The sequence below is a fragment of the Homo sapiens genome, chromosome 1 (assembly GCF_000001405.40).
Source record: "Homo sapiens chromosome 1, GRCh38.p14 Primary Assembly".
Classification (NCBI taxonomy): Eukaryota; Metazoa; Chordata; class Mammalia; order Primates; family Hominidae; genus Homo; species Homo sapiens.
In genome coordinates, this window is record NC_000001.11 from 236,964,880 (window position 1) to 236,982,983 (window position 18,104).

At 44.7% G+C, this 18,104-nt stretch overlaps 1 long non-coding RNA gene and 1 pseudogene across 1 annotated transcript in view; both read left to right on the forward strand.

Annotated features, from left to right (window-relative positions):
- LOC124904563 (uncharacterized) overlaps positions 1–18,101 on the forward strand; it is a 39,144-nt gene extending 21,043 nt beyond the window's left edge. Inside the window, exons 2-3 of the long non-coding RNA XR_007066964.1 lie at positions 17,507–17,544; positions 17,655–18,101. This is a non-coding gene — a long non-coding RNA (uncharacterized LOC124904563). The remainder of the gene's footprint in view (positions 1–17,506; positions 17,545–17,654) is intronic.
- RPL35P1 (ribosomal protein L35 pseudogene 1) lies at positions 16,430–16,864 on the forward strand (annotated as a pseudogene).
- Positions 18,102–18,104: the final 3 nt, after the last annotated feature.

Genomic DNA, 18,104 nt, shown 5'->3' on the forward strand with positions numbered 1-18,104 from the left:
TTAGATTATACTACCAAGAAAATGACCCAGAACACAGCTCATAGACAATAACATTGAGAAGACAGGTTGATAGGCTCCACTATATGCTTAATAGGGGTTACAGAAGTAGAGAATAGCAGAGAATCAATAGTTAGAAGAATTTCACTGAACTGTGAAAGATGTGAACCTTTAAACCCTCAACCTGAAAATGCACACCAGGCATCTAGCAAGATAAATACAAATGAACCCATCTCTACACATGGAGAAACATTATAGCAGAACCGCAGAGTGTCAGGGATAGAGAGAAAAATCTAAGAAGCTACCAGGGAGAAAAGACAGGTTATTGTAAAAAGAATGTCAGGCTGCCCGTCGACTTCCATGAGCAACAAAGAGTACCAGAAATCAGTGCTGGGATAAAATAACTCATCAAAATATTAGGTCAAATAGCTGTGATTGGGAAATCTATATACAATTAAACCCTCTTTCAAGAATGGGGAATCTAACGAAGACATTTTCAGACATACACAGGCTTAGAGTTTATCACTCACAGCACTTTTCTGGAAGAATTGCTAATGAATCTATTTTCACAAGAAGCAAAGTAAGCCTGGAGTTAGGAGTGGAGCATATCAACGACTGGTAAACAACCATATCAGTGAAATGCGTTGGTAAAACTAATGAACTATTGATCATTCCTATTAAGAATAATTATTATTTTGTCTTAAGGCAAGAGTGGAGTGAGGAAGTGGTGATCACTTGCCAACGTAACTTTTTGAACAATTATCATGGCTGTTCCTAATGCTTCAGTGTTTCATGATCTTCCATCCTTTCATTCACCAGCCAGCAGGTATTCAGGGAGCATTGGTTCTGCAGATTCCATCCTAGACCCTGGGTACAGCCCAGAAGACCACTGACACATCCTCCCTCCCTCCCTCCCTCCCTCCCTCTCTTCCTCCTTTTTTCTTCTTTTCCTCCTTCCCTCCCTTCCTTTCTTCCTTTCTTCCTTCCTTCCTTCCTCCCTCCCTCCCTCCCACTCCCCCTTCCTTTCTTCCTTCCCAGGATTCTCATGCTCAATGGGATTCTCTCTGCCCTCTGCCCCTCTGCCAGGTGGATGAGAGGGTGGGAGGGCCCCGCAGGTCAGGTGTCAGTCTAGCTGTCTCCTCTTCCTTACAAAACAGGGCTCATCTGGGAAACATTAGTGAGGAGAGTTCACAGTGAAAACACAAGAAATTCCATTTTCTACTATCACCTTTACATCTCACAGCTTAGATCACCCGGGAGAAGGAGATTCTGTATTCTACAAATATAAAAGCGTGAGAAAGGATGGTGCTGGGTGTGGCGGCCCCACACCTGTAATCCCAACACTTTGGGAGGCCACAGTGGGCAAATCACTTGAGCCCGGGAGTTCAAAACCAGCCCTGACATCATAGCGAGTCCCCGTCTCTACAGGAAATTTAAAAATTAGCCAGGCATGGTGGCACACCTTGTAGTCCTAGCTACGTGGGAGGCTGAGATGGGAGAATAGCTTGAGCTTGGGAGGTCGAGGCTGCAGTGAGCCATGGTTGCACCATTCAAGATCTGGGGGCAGAATTCCTTTTAGGGGAGGAAATATTATTCAGCAAACATGTAAGAAACCATTTGGCCTTTTGGAATGTTAGCCCTCAGAATATGGCTGGATAGGTCAAAAGGGAGTTGCAGAGACATGTCTCTGAGAGCTCATGGGGGTATTTAGGAAGGAGAGAGAAGGAAGTCTAGCGAGAAAGAAGGGGCTCAGAAAAATGGCAGAATGCTGGAGGCCAAATCAAAAAGATCATCAATGGTGGGAGGAGCCGAGAGCTCTGCAGAGCCGGTGAGTCTAATATTCTAACCCAGATGATCTGCCAAACTGCGTTACAGGGTGAACTTCTGTCCTAACTCTTGAATTCCTAGCAAACTGTACTGTGCACAGTTATCTTATGTAAATGGTGTTTGTTACACATCAAGAAAAAGGGCTGTCTTTGTTCTCTGCCTTCTTTATAGAGCCCTCCGTATTTGACCTTCCTGGTTAGGAGAGAGGAAAGTCGAGGTACTTTGATCTGTATCAGGCACGCCCTTCTCTCATCCCATATTAATTTTTCCCACATCAGTTTTAAGAGCTTTGTGCTTATAGGAGGAAAGGCATATTCATTCAAATTGTCATTTTTTCAATATCACTTGCTCAGGAAGAGTTAAAGCTCCGTCAGTGAGTAGAAAATTATTAAGTTTTCTGATCTCCTAGTAGGATTGGCTAAAGAACTCCAGAGAGTGAGAAGGGCTTGGAATTTAGTCATGATTTTTTTCCATCAGGAAAAAGCCAGTTAGATACGAGGAGGGAGAGGGAAGCCGCTTGGTTCAAAGGAATTAAAATGAGAAATGAAGTTTCAGCTGAGTGTAATGAGGCTGCTGCTGAGGCTGGCCTCAGGGTGAGGCTGACTTGGCATTACATGGAGAATACCCAGGCAAGAGGGTCCGCAGCAGACTAGGGATGGAGGGTGCTGAACTCAATGGGGTCCCCAACACTAGGGACATCAAAAGCAGACTACAAAAGATGAGGGAGCTTGGTGTTCATTGGACAATAAATAACAAGAGAGGAGGAAACTACAAAAACTAATCTAGTTGTTAATTCTGTGTGGAATGCATCAATGCTGAAAAGATCCTTGCGGAGGGAGCAGGCGGGATGGTGACCAATGAGTAAATTAGGAAGGTTTTACTCAGGGGTTGCATCATGGTTCAAGCACTGAAACTCCCAGTGCTCTCTCTAGACCGTATTGGATTGGAGTGGAAAGTGGGGAAAGTGCTAGTGAGATTACATGCTTTGAGAATGTGAGAATGTGGAACCAAGGTGGGATAGAGCTGCTTTTTTTTTTTTTTTTTTTTTTTTTTGACAGTCTCCCTCTGTTGCCTAGGCTGGAGTGCAAATCTCAGCTCACTGCAACCTCCACCTCCCAGGTTCAAGCGATTCTCCTGCCTCAACCTCTCAAGTAGCTGGGATTACAGGCATGCACCAAGACACTTGGCTAATTATTGTATTTTTAGTAGAGATGGGGTTTCACCAGTTGGCCAGGCTGGTCTCGAACTCTTGACCTCAAGTGATCCACCTGCTTCGGCCTCCCAAAGTGCTGGGATTACAGGTGTGAGCCACTGTGCCTATGTTGAAAGCCTTACTATGTGGGGGGTCCTCTGAGGATGGGGTACACTGCCTTAAGTTCCTGGGAAGGGCAAAGGAAGCATGCCCCAATGCTTCTAAAGTCCTTCCCTCTGGGATTCCTGGCAGCCATGGAGTCAGGGACAATGACAAGAGGGGAGGAGAAGCCTGGCCGGGACCACCAATTTGTAGTACAGGGCAGGATAGATTCCACAATCATTAGGTGCAAGAAAATGTACCTAGCTTTATTATTAAAAATTAGATTGAGATTTAGCTCTAAATCTCACTTAGCATAATTTTGAGTAATTTAATCTCAATCATGTTCTGGGGGATGGAGGTGTCGGAGTCGAGGTGAGGGGAGGAAGGGCTACCATCTCATAAAATCACTTAAGAGTTCTTGGGGGTTAAGACATACACATTTCAGAAAATTTGAAGGGGGACTGTATTAGTGTCCTGTGGCTGCTATAGCAAATTAATACCAGCTTGGTGGCTTAAGACAGCAAATATGTATTCTCTCACTGTCCTTGTGGCCAGAAGTCATACATCAAGGTGTCAGCAGGACTCCACTCTCTCCGAAGCCTCTAGGGCAGACTTCTTCCTTGCATCTTCTAGCTTCTGATGGTTGTTGGCATTCCTTGACATTCCTTGGCTTGTATCCTTCCGGTCTCTTTCTTCATATTCACCTTCTCTGTGTCTACTTTTTTTCTGTCTGTCTTCTCTTCTTTTCTCTTATGAGGATACTTGCGATGGAATTTAGGGCTCACCAAGAGAATCTACATTTATCCCTCATCTCAAGGTCCTCAACCACATCGGCAAAGACCCTTTTTTCCAATAAGGTAACATGCAAAAGTTCCAGGGGGCTGACGTGGATGTCTCTCTGGAACCCATATTTTGGGCTCCCACAAGGACCTTCTGGTTTTAGTCTGCTTTTGCACTGCTGAGATGCAGCCTTTTCCCAAAGCATATGGTCCTTTTCAAAGCTAGGCCACAGAGGTCTTTTAAGGAGGATTCCAATCTTGGCATTTAGTATCCTATTGCTCTAGATCTCTGTTATTTAAGAAAACTCCATTCCCTCTCGGCCTCTTGATTCCCAAAGAAGATCTTTCTGTGGGGCCTGGATGTCTTCATGCAAGCCGATGCTCCATTCTCCATCCACTTTAATCCTCCCAAAGGACTAGATTCCCAAACAGAGAGACTCTTGTCTGGCCATGGAGGCACAACCTAGAGGGCTTGTGTGGGTTACTGGGGTCAGCCAAGAAGGATGTAAGCTAAGAGGATGATAGAGAAAGACTGGGCTGCAGAAAGTCTAACACATACAGCAGTAACGTGTTGGCTTATTGATCCTTGAAGGTGCTGGAACACAAGCCAGCATTGCCAGTAATTACTCAGTGCTATGGTTTACATGTTGTGGGCTTCAAAACTCATGTTTGAAATTTAATCCCCAATGTGGCAGTATTGAGAGTTGGCGCCATTAGCACGTGACTGGGTTCTGAGGGACCTGCCCTCATGAGTGGATTAATCCATTCATGGATTGATGGGTTAATGGATTAGTGCGTTATCACAGGAGGGAATCTGTGGTTTTATAAGAACAGGAAGAGAGGCCTGAGCTAGGTCTGAGCTAGTACACTCAGCCCCCTAACTATATGACACCCTGTGCCACTTTGGGACCCTGTAGAGAGTCCCCATCAGCAAGAAGGCCCCTACCATTTGTGGCGTCTTGACCTTGGACTTCCCATCCTCCAAGAAATTTATTCCTTACAGTTATGGAGGCTGAGAAGTCCAAAGTCGAGTGGCCACATATGTGAGAGCCTTCTTGCTGGTGGGGACTCTCTGCAGCATCCCTAGGTGGTGCAGGGTGTCACATGGTGAGGGGACTGAGTGTGCTAGTGTGCTAACTCAGGTCTCTCTTCCTCTTCTTACTAAAGCCACTAGTCTCACTCCCATGATAACCATTAACCCATTAACCCATTAATTCATGCATAGATCAATCCATCTAATGAGGGCAGAGCCCTCATGACTCAATCACCTTTTAAAGGCCCTCCCTCTCAATATTGCTGCATTGGGGATGAAACCATAGCAAACTTATGTGAGTTTTATATTTTATTTTGTTTGGTTTTGGTTTTGGTCTTGCTCCGTTGCCCAGGCTGGAGTGCAGTAGTGTGATCATAGCCCACTGCAGCCTCATACTCCTGGGCTCAGGTGATCCTCCTGCCTCTGCCACCATGCCCAGCTAATTTTTAAAAAATATTTTATAGAGGCCAGGCGCAGTGGCTCATGCCTGTAATCCCAGCACTTTGGGAGGCCGAGGTGAGTGGATCACCTGAGGTCAGGAGATCGAGAGCAGCCTGGCCAGCATGGTGAAACCCTGTCTCTACTAAAAATATAAAAATTAGCCAGATTTGGTGGCACATGCCTGTAATCCCAGCTACTTGGGAGGCTGAGGCAAGACAATTAATTGAACCCGGGAGGCAGGGTTGCAGTGAGCCAAGATTACACCACTGCACTCCAAACTGGGCAACAGAGTGAGACTCCATCTCAAAAAAAAAAAAAAAAAAAAAAGAACTTACATTGACTATCAGTAGTGGTTTACCCTTGCTCAGAGGTGGAAAGGTGGTTATTTTTATTTTTCTTCTTTCTCTATTTTCCACATTTTCTAAAATAGACATATATATTTCTAAACATTTCTAAAATAATTTTTTTTTTTTGATACGGAGTCTCACTGTTGCCCAGGCCAAAGTGCGGTGGCGTGATCTTGTCTCACTGCATCCTCCGCCTCCCGGGCTCAAGTGACTCTCCTGCCTTAGCCTCCTGAGTAGCTGGTATTACAGGCGCCTGTCACTACGCCCGGTTAATTTTTGTATTTTTAGTGGAGACAGGGTTTCACCATGTTGGCCAGGCTGCTCTCAAACTCATGACCTCAGGTGTATCACTTGCCTTGACCTCCTAAAGTGCTGGGATTACAGGCATGAGCCACCATGCCTAGCCTATAATAGCAAAGAAGACAATTAAGCTGCTGTCTTCTCTGGGGTGGTTCCCATTCCCTCTCAGGTGCTATAAAGGTGGAGTGATTTGGGTAAACCCACTTCCTGGGTTTAGATGTTGACTGCTCAAGTTGCACAGAGTCATGCGTGACTCCGTGAGTTCCGACTGAATCTTCTCTCACCCCTCACTTCCAATCCATTTGCAAATCCTGTTGTCTCTACATTAAAAAATATTATTAATCCAATCTCTTCTTACCTTTCTACTGCTAGTAATTTAGGCATGGCTTAAAATTTTTTCTTTTTACAGAGATGGGGCCTTGCTATGTTGCTCGGACTCGTCTTGAACTCCTGGCCTCAAGCAATCTTCCTATCTCAGATATCATTTTTTTAAAATGAGGCCCTTCGTATGAATGTATATTTGCCAAAGTCAGAAAGAACTTACCCCGCACAACAGTCTCCTAACTGGTCTGTCTGCTTCTCCCCTCGCCTTCTGATTTCATTACCCTTGGAAATCAGCTTATTTCACTCTCATGCTCAAAGCTCTCCAATGGTCTTCACCAAGATCAACCAGGCCCTGCATACTCTGGCCAGCTCCCGTGTCCACTTGAACTTGATCTCCTCCTCATTGTCTCCTGCCCCCAGCACTCTGGCCTCCTTGTTCTTCCTCAGAAGCCCCAAGGATGCTCCTGTCTTTGCACTGCCTTTTTCTGCCTAGAAACATTTTCCTCCAGCTACCCACATGGCTCTGCCTCTTTTATCCTTTAGGGTTATATGTGCTCCTATGTCATCTTATAGAGGAAGTTGTCCCTTACCACCCCATACCAAACAGGACCTCCAATCTCTGTCTTTTTACTTTGCTCTTATTTTCTTCAGAACACTTCTCTCTTCTGTGCCTAGAACAGTGCTTGGCACATGGCACCCAATACAATCTTGTTGATTGACTAAATGAATAGTGTAATTAACATATACTCATTACTAACGCTAAAATTGATCCAAGTTATGTTTTGGTTTTCTTCAGAGAAATACCAGAATGTTACTATCTTCTACCAGAGAAAACAGGGAAATGAGGTAGTTACTGAGTCATTCCGTCCCAGGCATAACTTCTACCTGAATGACCTAGAAAATTGAGATCAAACTATATTTTGACCCAAATATAACAAGAACTGCTTCAATTTCCTCATTTTGTCAGTGGCAGCCACGCCCTAGTTTGCTGAGATAAATTAGATTTAGCTGAATGCAGTCATGGATTGCTAGCCTACCTAATGATAAGTAAATGAAATTTCTATTTAATCTCTTTTTAAAATGAGACCTTAGATTTACACTCCTAGTTCTTTATGCACTTCACATACCTCTATGTGCACTCAATTTTTCATCTCTTTGTGCACTTTGATTTTAAGGCTTAAGTAATCCTGTTTATAGAATAAATGTTTCGTCTAAATATCAGAAGAGCTACTGGTTCTTTGTTTATTTCTTGAATTTGTGCCCTAAGGCCTAACTCTTTCCAATTGTGAGCATATTTTCCTCAACTGTATTTGAAAAGGGGGATTTTCCTTTCCTTCTGTCACTTTCTCAGTGAGTCACCTCCTGAGAAGTGGCTACTTCTTTCCACCTCATTCTTTGTTCCTTTAGTCCAAGACAAAAATATAAAATAACACATAAAAAACTAACTGGGCTGGGCGCGGTGGCTCACACCTGTAATCCCAGCGCTTTGGGAGGCCGAGGTGGGCGGATCATAAGGTCAGGAGTTCGAGACCAGCCTGGCCAACATGATGAAACCCTGTCTCTACTAAAAATAGAAAAATTAGCTGGGCATGGTGGTGTGTGCCTATAATCCCAGCTACTCAAGAGGCTGAGGCAGGAGAATCACTCCAACCCGGGAGGCAGAGGTTGTAGTGAGCCGAGATCATGCTGCTGCACTCCAGCCTGAGCCACAGAACGAGACTCCGTCTCAAACAAACAAACAAACAAACAAACAAACAAACAAAAAAACTAACTGGAGAGATATTCTGTGTTCATAGATTGGAAGACTCAATATTGTGAAGATGTCAGTCCTTCCCAGCTTCATCTATAGATTCCTTGCAATCCTAATCAAAATTCTACAAGTTGTTTTGTGGATAACACCAAACTGATCATAAAATGTATACAGAAGGCAGAACACCAATAATAACAACACAATCCTAAAAAAGAAGACAAAGTTAGAGGGCTGACACTATCTGACTTCAAGGCTTATTACAAAACTACAGTAATTGGGGCAGTGTGCTATGGTGAAAGAATAGACAAGTAGATCAATGGAACAGAAAAGAGAGCTCAGAAATAGACCCACACAAACAGTCCACTAATCTTTAACAAACGAGCAGAGGTAGTTCAATGCAGAAGGGACAGTCTTTTCAACAGATGGTGCTGGAACAACTGCACATCCACAGGCAAAACAAAAGCAAAAACAAAACTAAACGCAGACCTTACAACTTTTGCACAAATCAGCTGAGAATATCATATGTAGACCTATATGCAAAATGTAAAACAAAAAAAGTTTGAGAAGAAGAAAACATAAGAGAAAATCTAGTGACTCTGGGTTTGGCAGTGACTTTTGAGGTACACCAAAAATGTGATCCGTGAAAGAAAAAAATTGGTAAGTTGGACTTAGTTAAAATTAAAAACTTCCTCTCTGAAAAAGATGCTATTAAGAGGATGGAAAGGCAAGCTACAGACTGAGAGATTGTATTTGCCAAACACATATCTGATAAATGACTGGTATCCAAAATGTACCAAACAACGCTTAAAACTGAATTTTAAGAAAACAACTTAACTAAAAAAATCAGCAAAACATCTGAACAGACACCTCATAAAAGAAGAGATAAAGATGGGTGGGTGCAGTGGCTCATGCCTGTAATACCAGCACTTTGGGAGGCCAAGGTGGGGGGATCACCTGAGGTCAGGAGTTTGAGACCAGCCTGGCCAACATGGTGAAACCCCGTCTCTACTGAAAATACAAATATTAGCCAGGTGTGATGGCATCCGCCAGTAATCCCAGAAACTCGGGAGGCTGAGGCAGGAGAATTGCTTGGACCTGGGAGGCGGAGGTTGCAGTGAGCTGAGATTGTGCCACTGCACTCCAGCCTGGGCAACAGAGCAAGACTCTGTCTCAGAAAAAAAAAAAAAAGAAGAAAGTCATGCACAGAGAGGGAAGAAGGCCAGCCACCTGAGGGTGGCGGCAGAGTGTGGAGTTATGGGACTAGACGCCAAGGCACGCCTGGGGCTACCAGAAGCTGTAAAGGGCAAGGAAGGATCTTCCCCTAGAGGGTTCAGAGAGCATAGCCCTACTGACACCTTGATTTTGGACTTCTGGCCTCCAGAACTGTGAGAGAATAAATTTCTTGTTTCAAGCCATTCCAGTTTGTGGTACTTTTTTCCTGCAGGCCTAGGAAACAGATACACCTGGATACCATGTGATGACAATGGCACTTTGTCTCTGTGCTCTTCCCTTCAAAAACCCATCACTCCAGTCTAATCATGATTAAAAACAGCAGGCAAATTACAATACAAGGCATCCTACAAAACACCTGACCAGTACTCCTCAAAGCTGTCAAGATTGGCTGGGCACAGTGACTCTCACCTGTAATCCCAGCACTTTGGGAGGCCAAGGTGGGAGGAACACTTGAGCCCAGAAGTTCAAGACCAGCTTGGGCAACATAGTGAGACACTGTCTCTACAAATAATTAGAAAATTAGCTGAGTGTGGTAGTGCACGCCTGTGGTCCCAGCTGCTTAGGAGGCTGAGGTGGGAGGTTCGATTGAGCCTGGGAGGTTGAGGCTGCAGTGAGCTATGATTGCACATTGCACTCCAGCCTGGGTGACAGAGCAGGACCCCGTCTCAATTAAAAAAAAAAAAAAAAAAAGGCCAAGCACCGTGGCTCACGCCTGTATTCCCAGCACTTTGGGAGGCCGAGTCAGGTGGATCACGAGGTCAGGAGTTCAAGACCAGCCTGGCCAATATGGTGAAACTTCATCTCTACTAAAAATACAGAAATTAGCCGGGCATGGTGGTGCACGCTTGTAGTCCCAGCTACTAGGAAGGCTGAGGCAGGAGAATCGTTTGAACCCAGGAGGCGGAGGTTGCAGTGAGCAGAGATCATGCCACTGCACTACAGCCTGGGCGACAGAGCGAGGCTCCGTCTCAAAAAAAGAAAAAAATAATAAAACACACACACACACACAGACACACACACAAATCTTGCAAGGCCATCAAAAACAAGGGAAGTCTGAGAAACTGTCACAACTAAGACGAGCCTAAGGAGACATGACAGCTAAATGTAATGTGGACTCCTGGATGGGATATTGAAACAGAAAAAGGTATACAGTAAGGATATCTGACTAAACTGTGGACTTTAGCTAATACTGATGCATCAATATTGGTTCATTAATTCTAACAAATGTACCCTACTAGTGTAAGATGTTGATAATAGGGGAAACTGCGGGTGGGGTATACAGGAATGCTCTGTACCATCTTCTCAATTTTGCTGTAAACCTGGAAGTGTTCAGATTAAAAGTCTTTAAAAATGAACATAAAAATAAAAAGAAAATAAACGAACACAAGGTAGCCTGCCGCTTTAACTCACAGTCAACCCTCTTTGCTTTCATGAGAGCAGTCTGGTTTTTACCCTCCCGTTGTCAACACCCTCTCCTGTCCCTGTTTCCATGAAGATTGGTTTCTGTTTAGTATTCCCCACTTCTCTTCCCATCAGCAATCTCGGTACAAAATCACTTGCCATGGTCCGTTTCCCAAAGTCCCAGGTTTTGTCAGGAATGTTGAGGGTGGGCTTTGGAGCTCTTCATCCCTTCTCATCTTCATCTCAAGTTTTCTTCAATATGTATTCAGAATAAATTGTTTCTGAGAATAATTGTATGTCCTTCGGAGAGATGAGAGAAAGGATATTTGCAACACAAATAACCAACAAAGATCACTCAAGAATAATAAAGAGTTTCTACATATCACTAGAAAAAAGACAACTCAATATAGAAAAATGAGCAAAAACCAGATAAATGCATTTCACAGAAGAGGAACCACATATGGCCAATAAATATACAAAAAGACATTAAACCACAGGAGACTGTACAGCATCTGCACAATTGAAGACCATTTTATACCCATGCGATTATTAAATGAAGTCTGCCAATACCAAGTATTAGAGATCAAATGATCAGTGGGATCTCCTACATATTACCAATGAGAAACTAAAGTAGCACAATCGCTTTGGAAAATAATTTGGTAGTATTCTGTCTAATTGAATATTTGCCTATTTGATATTCTACTTCTAGGTAAATATCCAAGAGACTCTTTAGCACATGTGCACCAAGATAATATACAAGAATGTTCACAGAATTCTTGTTCTATACAGGGAAGAATGGAAAAAAAATGTCCTTTGACAAGAGAATAGACAAATAAATTATGGTATATCTACACAACGGGAAAGTAACTCCAGCCACGTTCAATAACTTGGATGAATTTTAGCCATGAAATGTTAAGTAACAAGCAAAATTAAGCAATATATTGGTTAGACATACGTATGTACAGGATAAACCAAAACCAAAACCAAAAAAGGATCAGAATGATAAACACAAAATTCAAAGTATTAACTCCCTTCAAGAGGCAAGCAGGGATAGGCCAGCTGTGATGGCTCATGCCTGTAATCCCAACACTTCGGGAGGCTGAGGCCGGCAGGTCATCAGGTCGGGAGTTCGAGACCAGCCTGGCCAACATGGTGAAACCCCATCTCTACTAAAAATACAAAAATTAGCTGGCGTGGTGGTGGGTGCCTGTAATCCCAGCTACTCGGGGGGCTGAGGCAGAAGAATCATTTGAACCCGGGAGGCGGAGGTTGCGGTGAGCCGAGGTCGCACCATTGCCCTCCAGCCTGGGCAACAGAGCGAGACTCCATCTCAAAAAAAAAAAAAAAAAAAAAAAAAAGGCAAGCAGGGACATGGGATAGTGGTGAGCACGTAGGGAGACGTATATCCGTGGTAAATTTTTAATTCTTGAGTGAGGCTGGCTTAGCAGCGTTTGTTATGCAATAAAAATAAATAATGAAAGTAAAAGACGGGCTACGTAAGGACTGATCGTGATTATGTGTCACGAACCGAGGACTATGCCTGGTACAGTGCCTCGCATTTAAGGCCCAAAATTAAACAAAACAAAAAGCTCAGTTGATAACTATCTTGGTATATTCCTGCTGCTATGACAAAAGACCACAGACTGGGTCATTTATACAAATGTCACAATATAAATTTATTTTTTCACAATTCTGGAGGCTGTGAAGTCCAAGATCAAGGTGCCAGCGGGTTTGGTGTCTGGTGAGGGCTTCTTCTCCACTTCCAAGATGGTGTCTCTTGCTGCATCTTCAGATGGCAAAAGGGGTGACGGGGACTGTGGTGCTTCCTTCAACCTCTTTGACAAGGGCACTAATCCCACTAGTCACGGGGATGACTTAATCACCTCCTAAAGGCCCCACCTCTTAATACTACTATCACACTGGTGATTACGTTTCAACATAGGAATTTTGGGGGACACATTCAGGCCATAGCAATAACTTTTATGGAAAGAAAGACAAAATGTTTGGCTGATCATGGGACTAAGGAGTTGCATTTGTCCAGACAGAGAGCTGGGTGACACATTCCAAGTGGAGGCTTTTCCTTGGAGTTTTTCCCTTGGAAGTCGTGGACTCCCCTTTACCCACCTCTGCAGTCCTGTGCCCGCTCCCTTCTCTGTCTCAGCTTCCTGATGCTGGTGGGGGTAGCTCTCCTGGCCCATTGCCTGTCCTCAGTGCCCGCTGTTCACGTAATCACACATTCCTCATATTTTAATTCATTTCCTTGTAGCCACTTACTTTTAAATTCATTTACCATTTTTGTTTTGCCTCAGAAGTTTACTAACTGCTGCAATTAATTAATTAATTAGTTAATTTTTGAGACAGAGTTACCCAGGCTTGAGTGCAGTGACACAATCACAGCTCACTGCAGCCTCAACCTCCTGGGATCAAGTGATCCTCCCACCTCAGCCTCCCTAGTAGCTGGGACTACAGGTATGTGCCCCCACACTCAGCTAATTTTTAAATTTTTTGTCGAGATACAGTCTCACTATGTTGCCAGGTTGGTCTCAAACTCCTGGGCTCAAGTGATCCTCCCACCTCAGCTTCCCAAAGTGCTGGGATTATAGGCATGAGCCACCACGCCCAGCCGCTTGCTGCAATCTAAGAAGTGAACCACAGGCTGGGAGCGGTGGCTCACGCCTGTAATCCCAGCACTTTGGGAGGCTGAGGCAGGCGGATCACGAGGTCAGGAGATCGATACCATCCTGGCTAACACGGTGAAACCCCGTCTCTACTAAAAATACAAAAAATTAGCCGGGCGAGGTGGCGGGCGCCTGTAGTCCCAGCTGCTGGGGAGGCTGAGGCAGGAGAATGGCGTGAACCCAGGAGGCGGAGCCTGCAGTGAGCAGAGATCACGCCACTGCACTCCAGCCTGGGCGAGAGCGAGACTCCGTCTCAAAAAAAAAAAAAAAAAAAAAAAAAAAAAAAAAAGAAGTGAACCACAATAAAGCAAAGCCGACGGAGACAAGAGGGCAAGGAATTGAGCCTGCTGGAAAAACTTGTTCAATTTCATCCACTGGTAAGACTTGATCGTTTCCATCACCCATTGTTTCTCCCCTTTGTGCCTTTAGGTAGGAGAATGTCTGATGTAAGCCACAAAATTTTACTCACAAATCGCACATCAGAAGTCTGGAGATTGGCAGTCCCAGAGGTGGTTCATGTACTGTTTCCACGGCGTCAGGGCCCGCGATCGGCTGCTCTTGGCTTTCCTTTTTCTGGTGCCAGCTCTGTGCAGCTGCAGCACATAGCACCAAGTCCTCACAAGACAACGTCCAAGCTAGGAGGCGGGGAGAGCTCTCTCCTTCTATCACGGAGGAGTATCTTTCCCCAAGTGTTCTGGATCTCTGTTGAATCACATGCCTGCCTCAAAGGAGCAAAGAAGGAATGAGATTTCCGTGATTCATTTAGCTCAACCGTGATTCATTCCTGGGCGCCGGACATAAAGCCAGATGCGACATGAACACAACTGGCCTTGAAAGAGGTGTAGAATGGCTGTGGGGAAAGCAAACCATGGCCTCTGTCACCCATTTGCTCTCTGGGTACTTCAGAATTGGCATTCAAATGATAATACCAGTGCTCTATATCTCACAGCACTTCACAGTTTGCAGAGCGTTCATGCACAGTGTTTCATTCGATTCTCACCACCACCATGTGAGATGCAAGAACAGCTGTTCTTCTCCTTCTTTGGTAGAGAGGGAGACTGAGGACTGCAGGCAGTGAGTGATTCATCCAAGGTTTTGCAGCTTCTCAGAGCCGGAAATAGAACAAGGGCTTCCGACAAGGACGTCCAATATCTTTTCTACAATTCCTTTCAATGAGCACATGTGGGATAACACTGGCAGCTCATAGATGTAGTTGCCCTGTAAGTTCTGTGTGAATTTCCTCCATGGGATGATGCCCTGTGTGCTCCCAATAGATGTAGAGCGATGGGCGCTGTGTGGCTCAGCAGAGGCAGCTGCGGAGGAGTGAGTGGTGAAGCATTTTTACACAGACACGTCTTGTGCAAACTAAGCAATGCCTGGACAGAGGATGATGTCCTGTGATGAAGCAGCAGATGGAGGCTGCAGATGTGTGAAGGTTGCGTTCGGCCCACATGGAATCCAAGAGCTCCACAAGGCATCTCGGCTGTCCAACTTCCTGTCAGAATTGGCACTGAGACGAGCTCCAGCTCCTAGCTTACTCTTAATTTAAACCAAATAAGAGAGAGGAGATGACTTGAAGGAAGCATCTGGGTACAAGGACACCAGAGGAAAGCAGGAGATGGAAGGCAGCGAGAGTTCCCAGGATTTACAAACGGATCCTCTTGTCATTGCTTGCCATCTGGTCCCGTGCCTGGTCCCCACCCCTCACAGTCAGCTGGAAAGCTGTCTGATAATGCGCTCGGGTGGGCTTCGCTAGCAGCAGTCTATGTTGGAAAGTAGTTTCCTTTCTGGAAAGTAGTTTGGAAACATATATTATGATGCATGAAAGTGTAAGACCACTTCAACCATGGACCCCATCCTTGAGATTTCAATTAAGGAAATAACTAAAATAAAGGAAATAGCTAAAATGAAGGAAGCCAGTCATGGTGGCTCACATCTGTAATCCCAGCATTTTGGGAGGCCGAGGCTGGTGGATCACTTGAGGTCAGGAGTTTGAGACCAGCCTGGCAAACATGGAGAAACCAGCTCTACTAAAAATACAAAAACTAGCCTGATGTGGTGGTGGGCGCCTGTAATCCCAGCTACTCGGGAGGCTGAAGCACGAGAATCACTTGAACCCAGGAGGCAGAGGCTGCAGTGAGCCGAGATTGCACCACTGTGCTCCAGCCTGGGCAGCAGGGAGAGACTCCATCTCAAAAAATAAAATAAAATAATAAAATAAAGTAAAATGAAGGAAAAAATCTGTATGTACGGTGATGGCTATTATTTTGTTGTACATATGCAAGTGAAGAGTTGGAAGCAAACTAAACCTTCAACAGCAGTAACCCTGTGGTCTACTTAATGGAATCTAAGCCATTGTTAACAAGTAGAATTATGAAGATGATGCATTCAACAAATATTTATTGAATGCTTCTAATATGCCAAGCGCTGTATTGAAGAATGAAACAGTAAACAAAGCAGCCCAAATTCCTACTTTCTCCCAGTTTATGCTCTAGTGTGAATGGCAAAGGAGAGCTGCTGCGACAAGAAAAGAGGTGAAGATCAGAATTAAGTGAAAAACGCAGAGGAGAAAAACTACACCTATCACGTGACTCTTTCCATGCAATGCGTTCAATTCCACAGACAAGGGTTGAAAGGAAACAAGAACGAATAAAGACAGGCAGCTGATGGAGTGATGTGGCTCTGAACCAGTTTCTTTCCTTTACTGTTTTTCCAATGTCTTTAGTGCAATATTTAAAAAAAATCAAAATGAGAAAAATCATCTGATATTTTTAGCATGCACTTTCCTGTTCCAAAAAGAGATATATTTATCCAACTTCGTGGAAGCCCAAGAAAAAATATAATAAAAACATGTTTGTGGAAAGAAGGGAAGCCTGGGTGCAGTGGCTCATGTCTGTAATCCCAGCACTTTTGGAGGCTGAGGTGAGAGTAGTTCGCTTGAGTCCAGGAGTTCGAGACCAGCCTGGGCAACACAGTGAGATCCCACCTGTACAAAACATTAAAAAATTAGCCAGGTGTGGGAATAGGGGTCGGCGTCGGCGGCCTGTGCAGCAATGGCCAAGATCAAAGCTCGAGATCTTCACGGGAAGAAGAAGGAGGAGCTGCGGAAACAGCTGGATGACCTGAAGGTGGAGCTGTCCCAGCTGCGCGTCGCCAAAGTGACAGGCGGTGCGGCCTCCAAGCTCTCTAAGATCCGAGTCGTCCACAAATCCATTGCCCATTTTCTCACAGTTATTAACCAGACTCAGAAAGAAAACCTCAGGAAATTCTACAAGGGCAAGAAGTACAAGCCCCTGGACCTGCGGCCTAAGAAGACACGCGCCACGCGCCACCGGCTCAACAAGCGCGAGGAGCACCTGAAGACCAAGAAGCAGCAGTGGAAGGAGCGGCTGTGCCTGCTGCGGAAGTACGCGGTCAAGGCCTGAGGAGCACGTTGTCAATAAAGCACAGCTGGCTGAGAAAAAAAAAATTAGCCGGGTGTGGTGGTGCATGCCTGTGGTCCTAGCTTCTTGGGAGGCTGAGGTGGGAGGACAGCTTGAGCCCAGTAGGTGGAGGCTATAGTGAGCTGTGGTCATCTCACTGCACTCCAACCTGGATGACAGAATGATACCCTGTCCCCCATCCCCAGAAAAAAGGAAGAAGGGAGGAAGGAAGGGAAAGAGAAGGGAAGGGAGGGAAATGGATAGATGTAGCTTTTGTGTTTATTTTGGGCTGTAATCTGAGCCCTTTTGTCTGCATACTTATCTCTGTAGGTTCCAAGCCCATGAGAACGAAATGAAAGGTTTAAATGTTATCCTGGTTTGTTTTTGTAAATGATTCCCTGTTTATTGTCACCACCATAGTTCACTTGAGATCCAGTAAAGGTAAATTCTCTAAACAACTACAAAAACACCAAGTATCTGGGGACTACCTGCAGCCAAATTCTATTATAACCTCTGAATTCTAACTCTAACAATGTAAACTGTTTTTCTCATAAGTGCCTGCTGTCTAAGTCCCAACCACCCATCCACCTAGACGCAGCTGGCTCTATGTAGACTACTGTTGTTACAGGATGACTGTGATGTGTATTTCTTTTAAAATATTTTCTTTTCTTGTTTTCTAGATCCAGTGGGCAGAGTCCGGGGCACTTTTGGTAAAGAGGTGAGATTATGAAGCTCTTTTTTGCTGCTCCCTGTATTTTCCACCATCTGCTCCCATATTCCTGCTACTTAGAGTCCACCTGCTGCTTCAGCCATGTCATTTGTCTTCAGGTCCTGCCCTGAGCTCCTCTGTGGCATTGCCCTGCACTGAACAGCTGTTGTTTTAGGACAGGCTGCATTTCTGTGAGTACAAGATGGTCTTTGCAGGTGGCTGGTACATGAATTTTAAGCTTGTTGAGTGCTTTGAGATATGAAGCTAAAAATACATGTGGGAGGTGTGTGTATGTGTGTGTGTGTGTGTGTGTGTGTGTTTGAGAGAGAGATTATTCTTTGTACAAAGAAAAAGTGACAAGGGGTTATATGCCGCTGATGTTCCTGCATCATCATCATCAAATACTGTTTATTAAGCTTCCTCCACATCGCTGATGTTAAGGGCTTGCAGATTCTCTTGGGTTTCTCTTTTCTTCCTCTCCCTGTACTCAGCCTCCAACATCATTCTACCCTCCCAGCTCTTACCTTAGCAGTTTTGTACTAGTTTCTGTACTAAGACTTGACTACTCA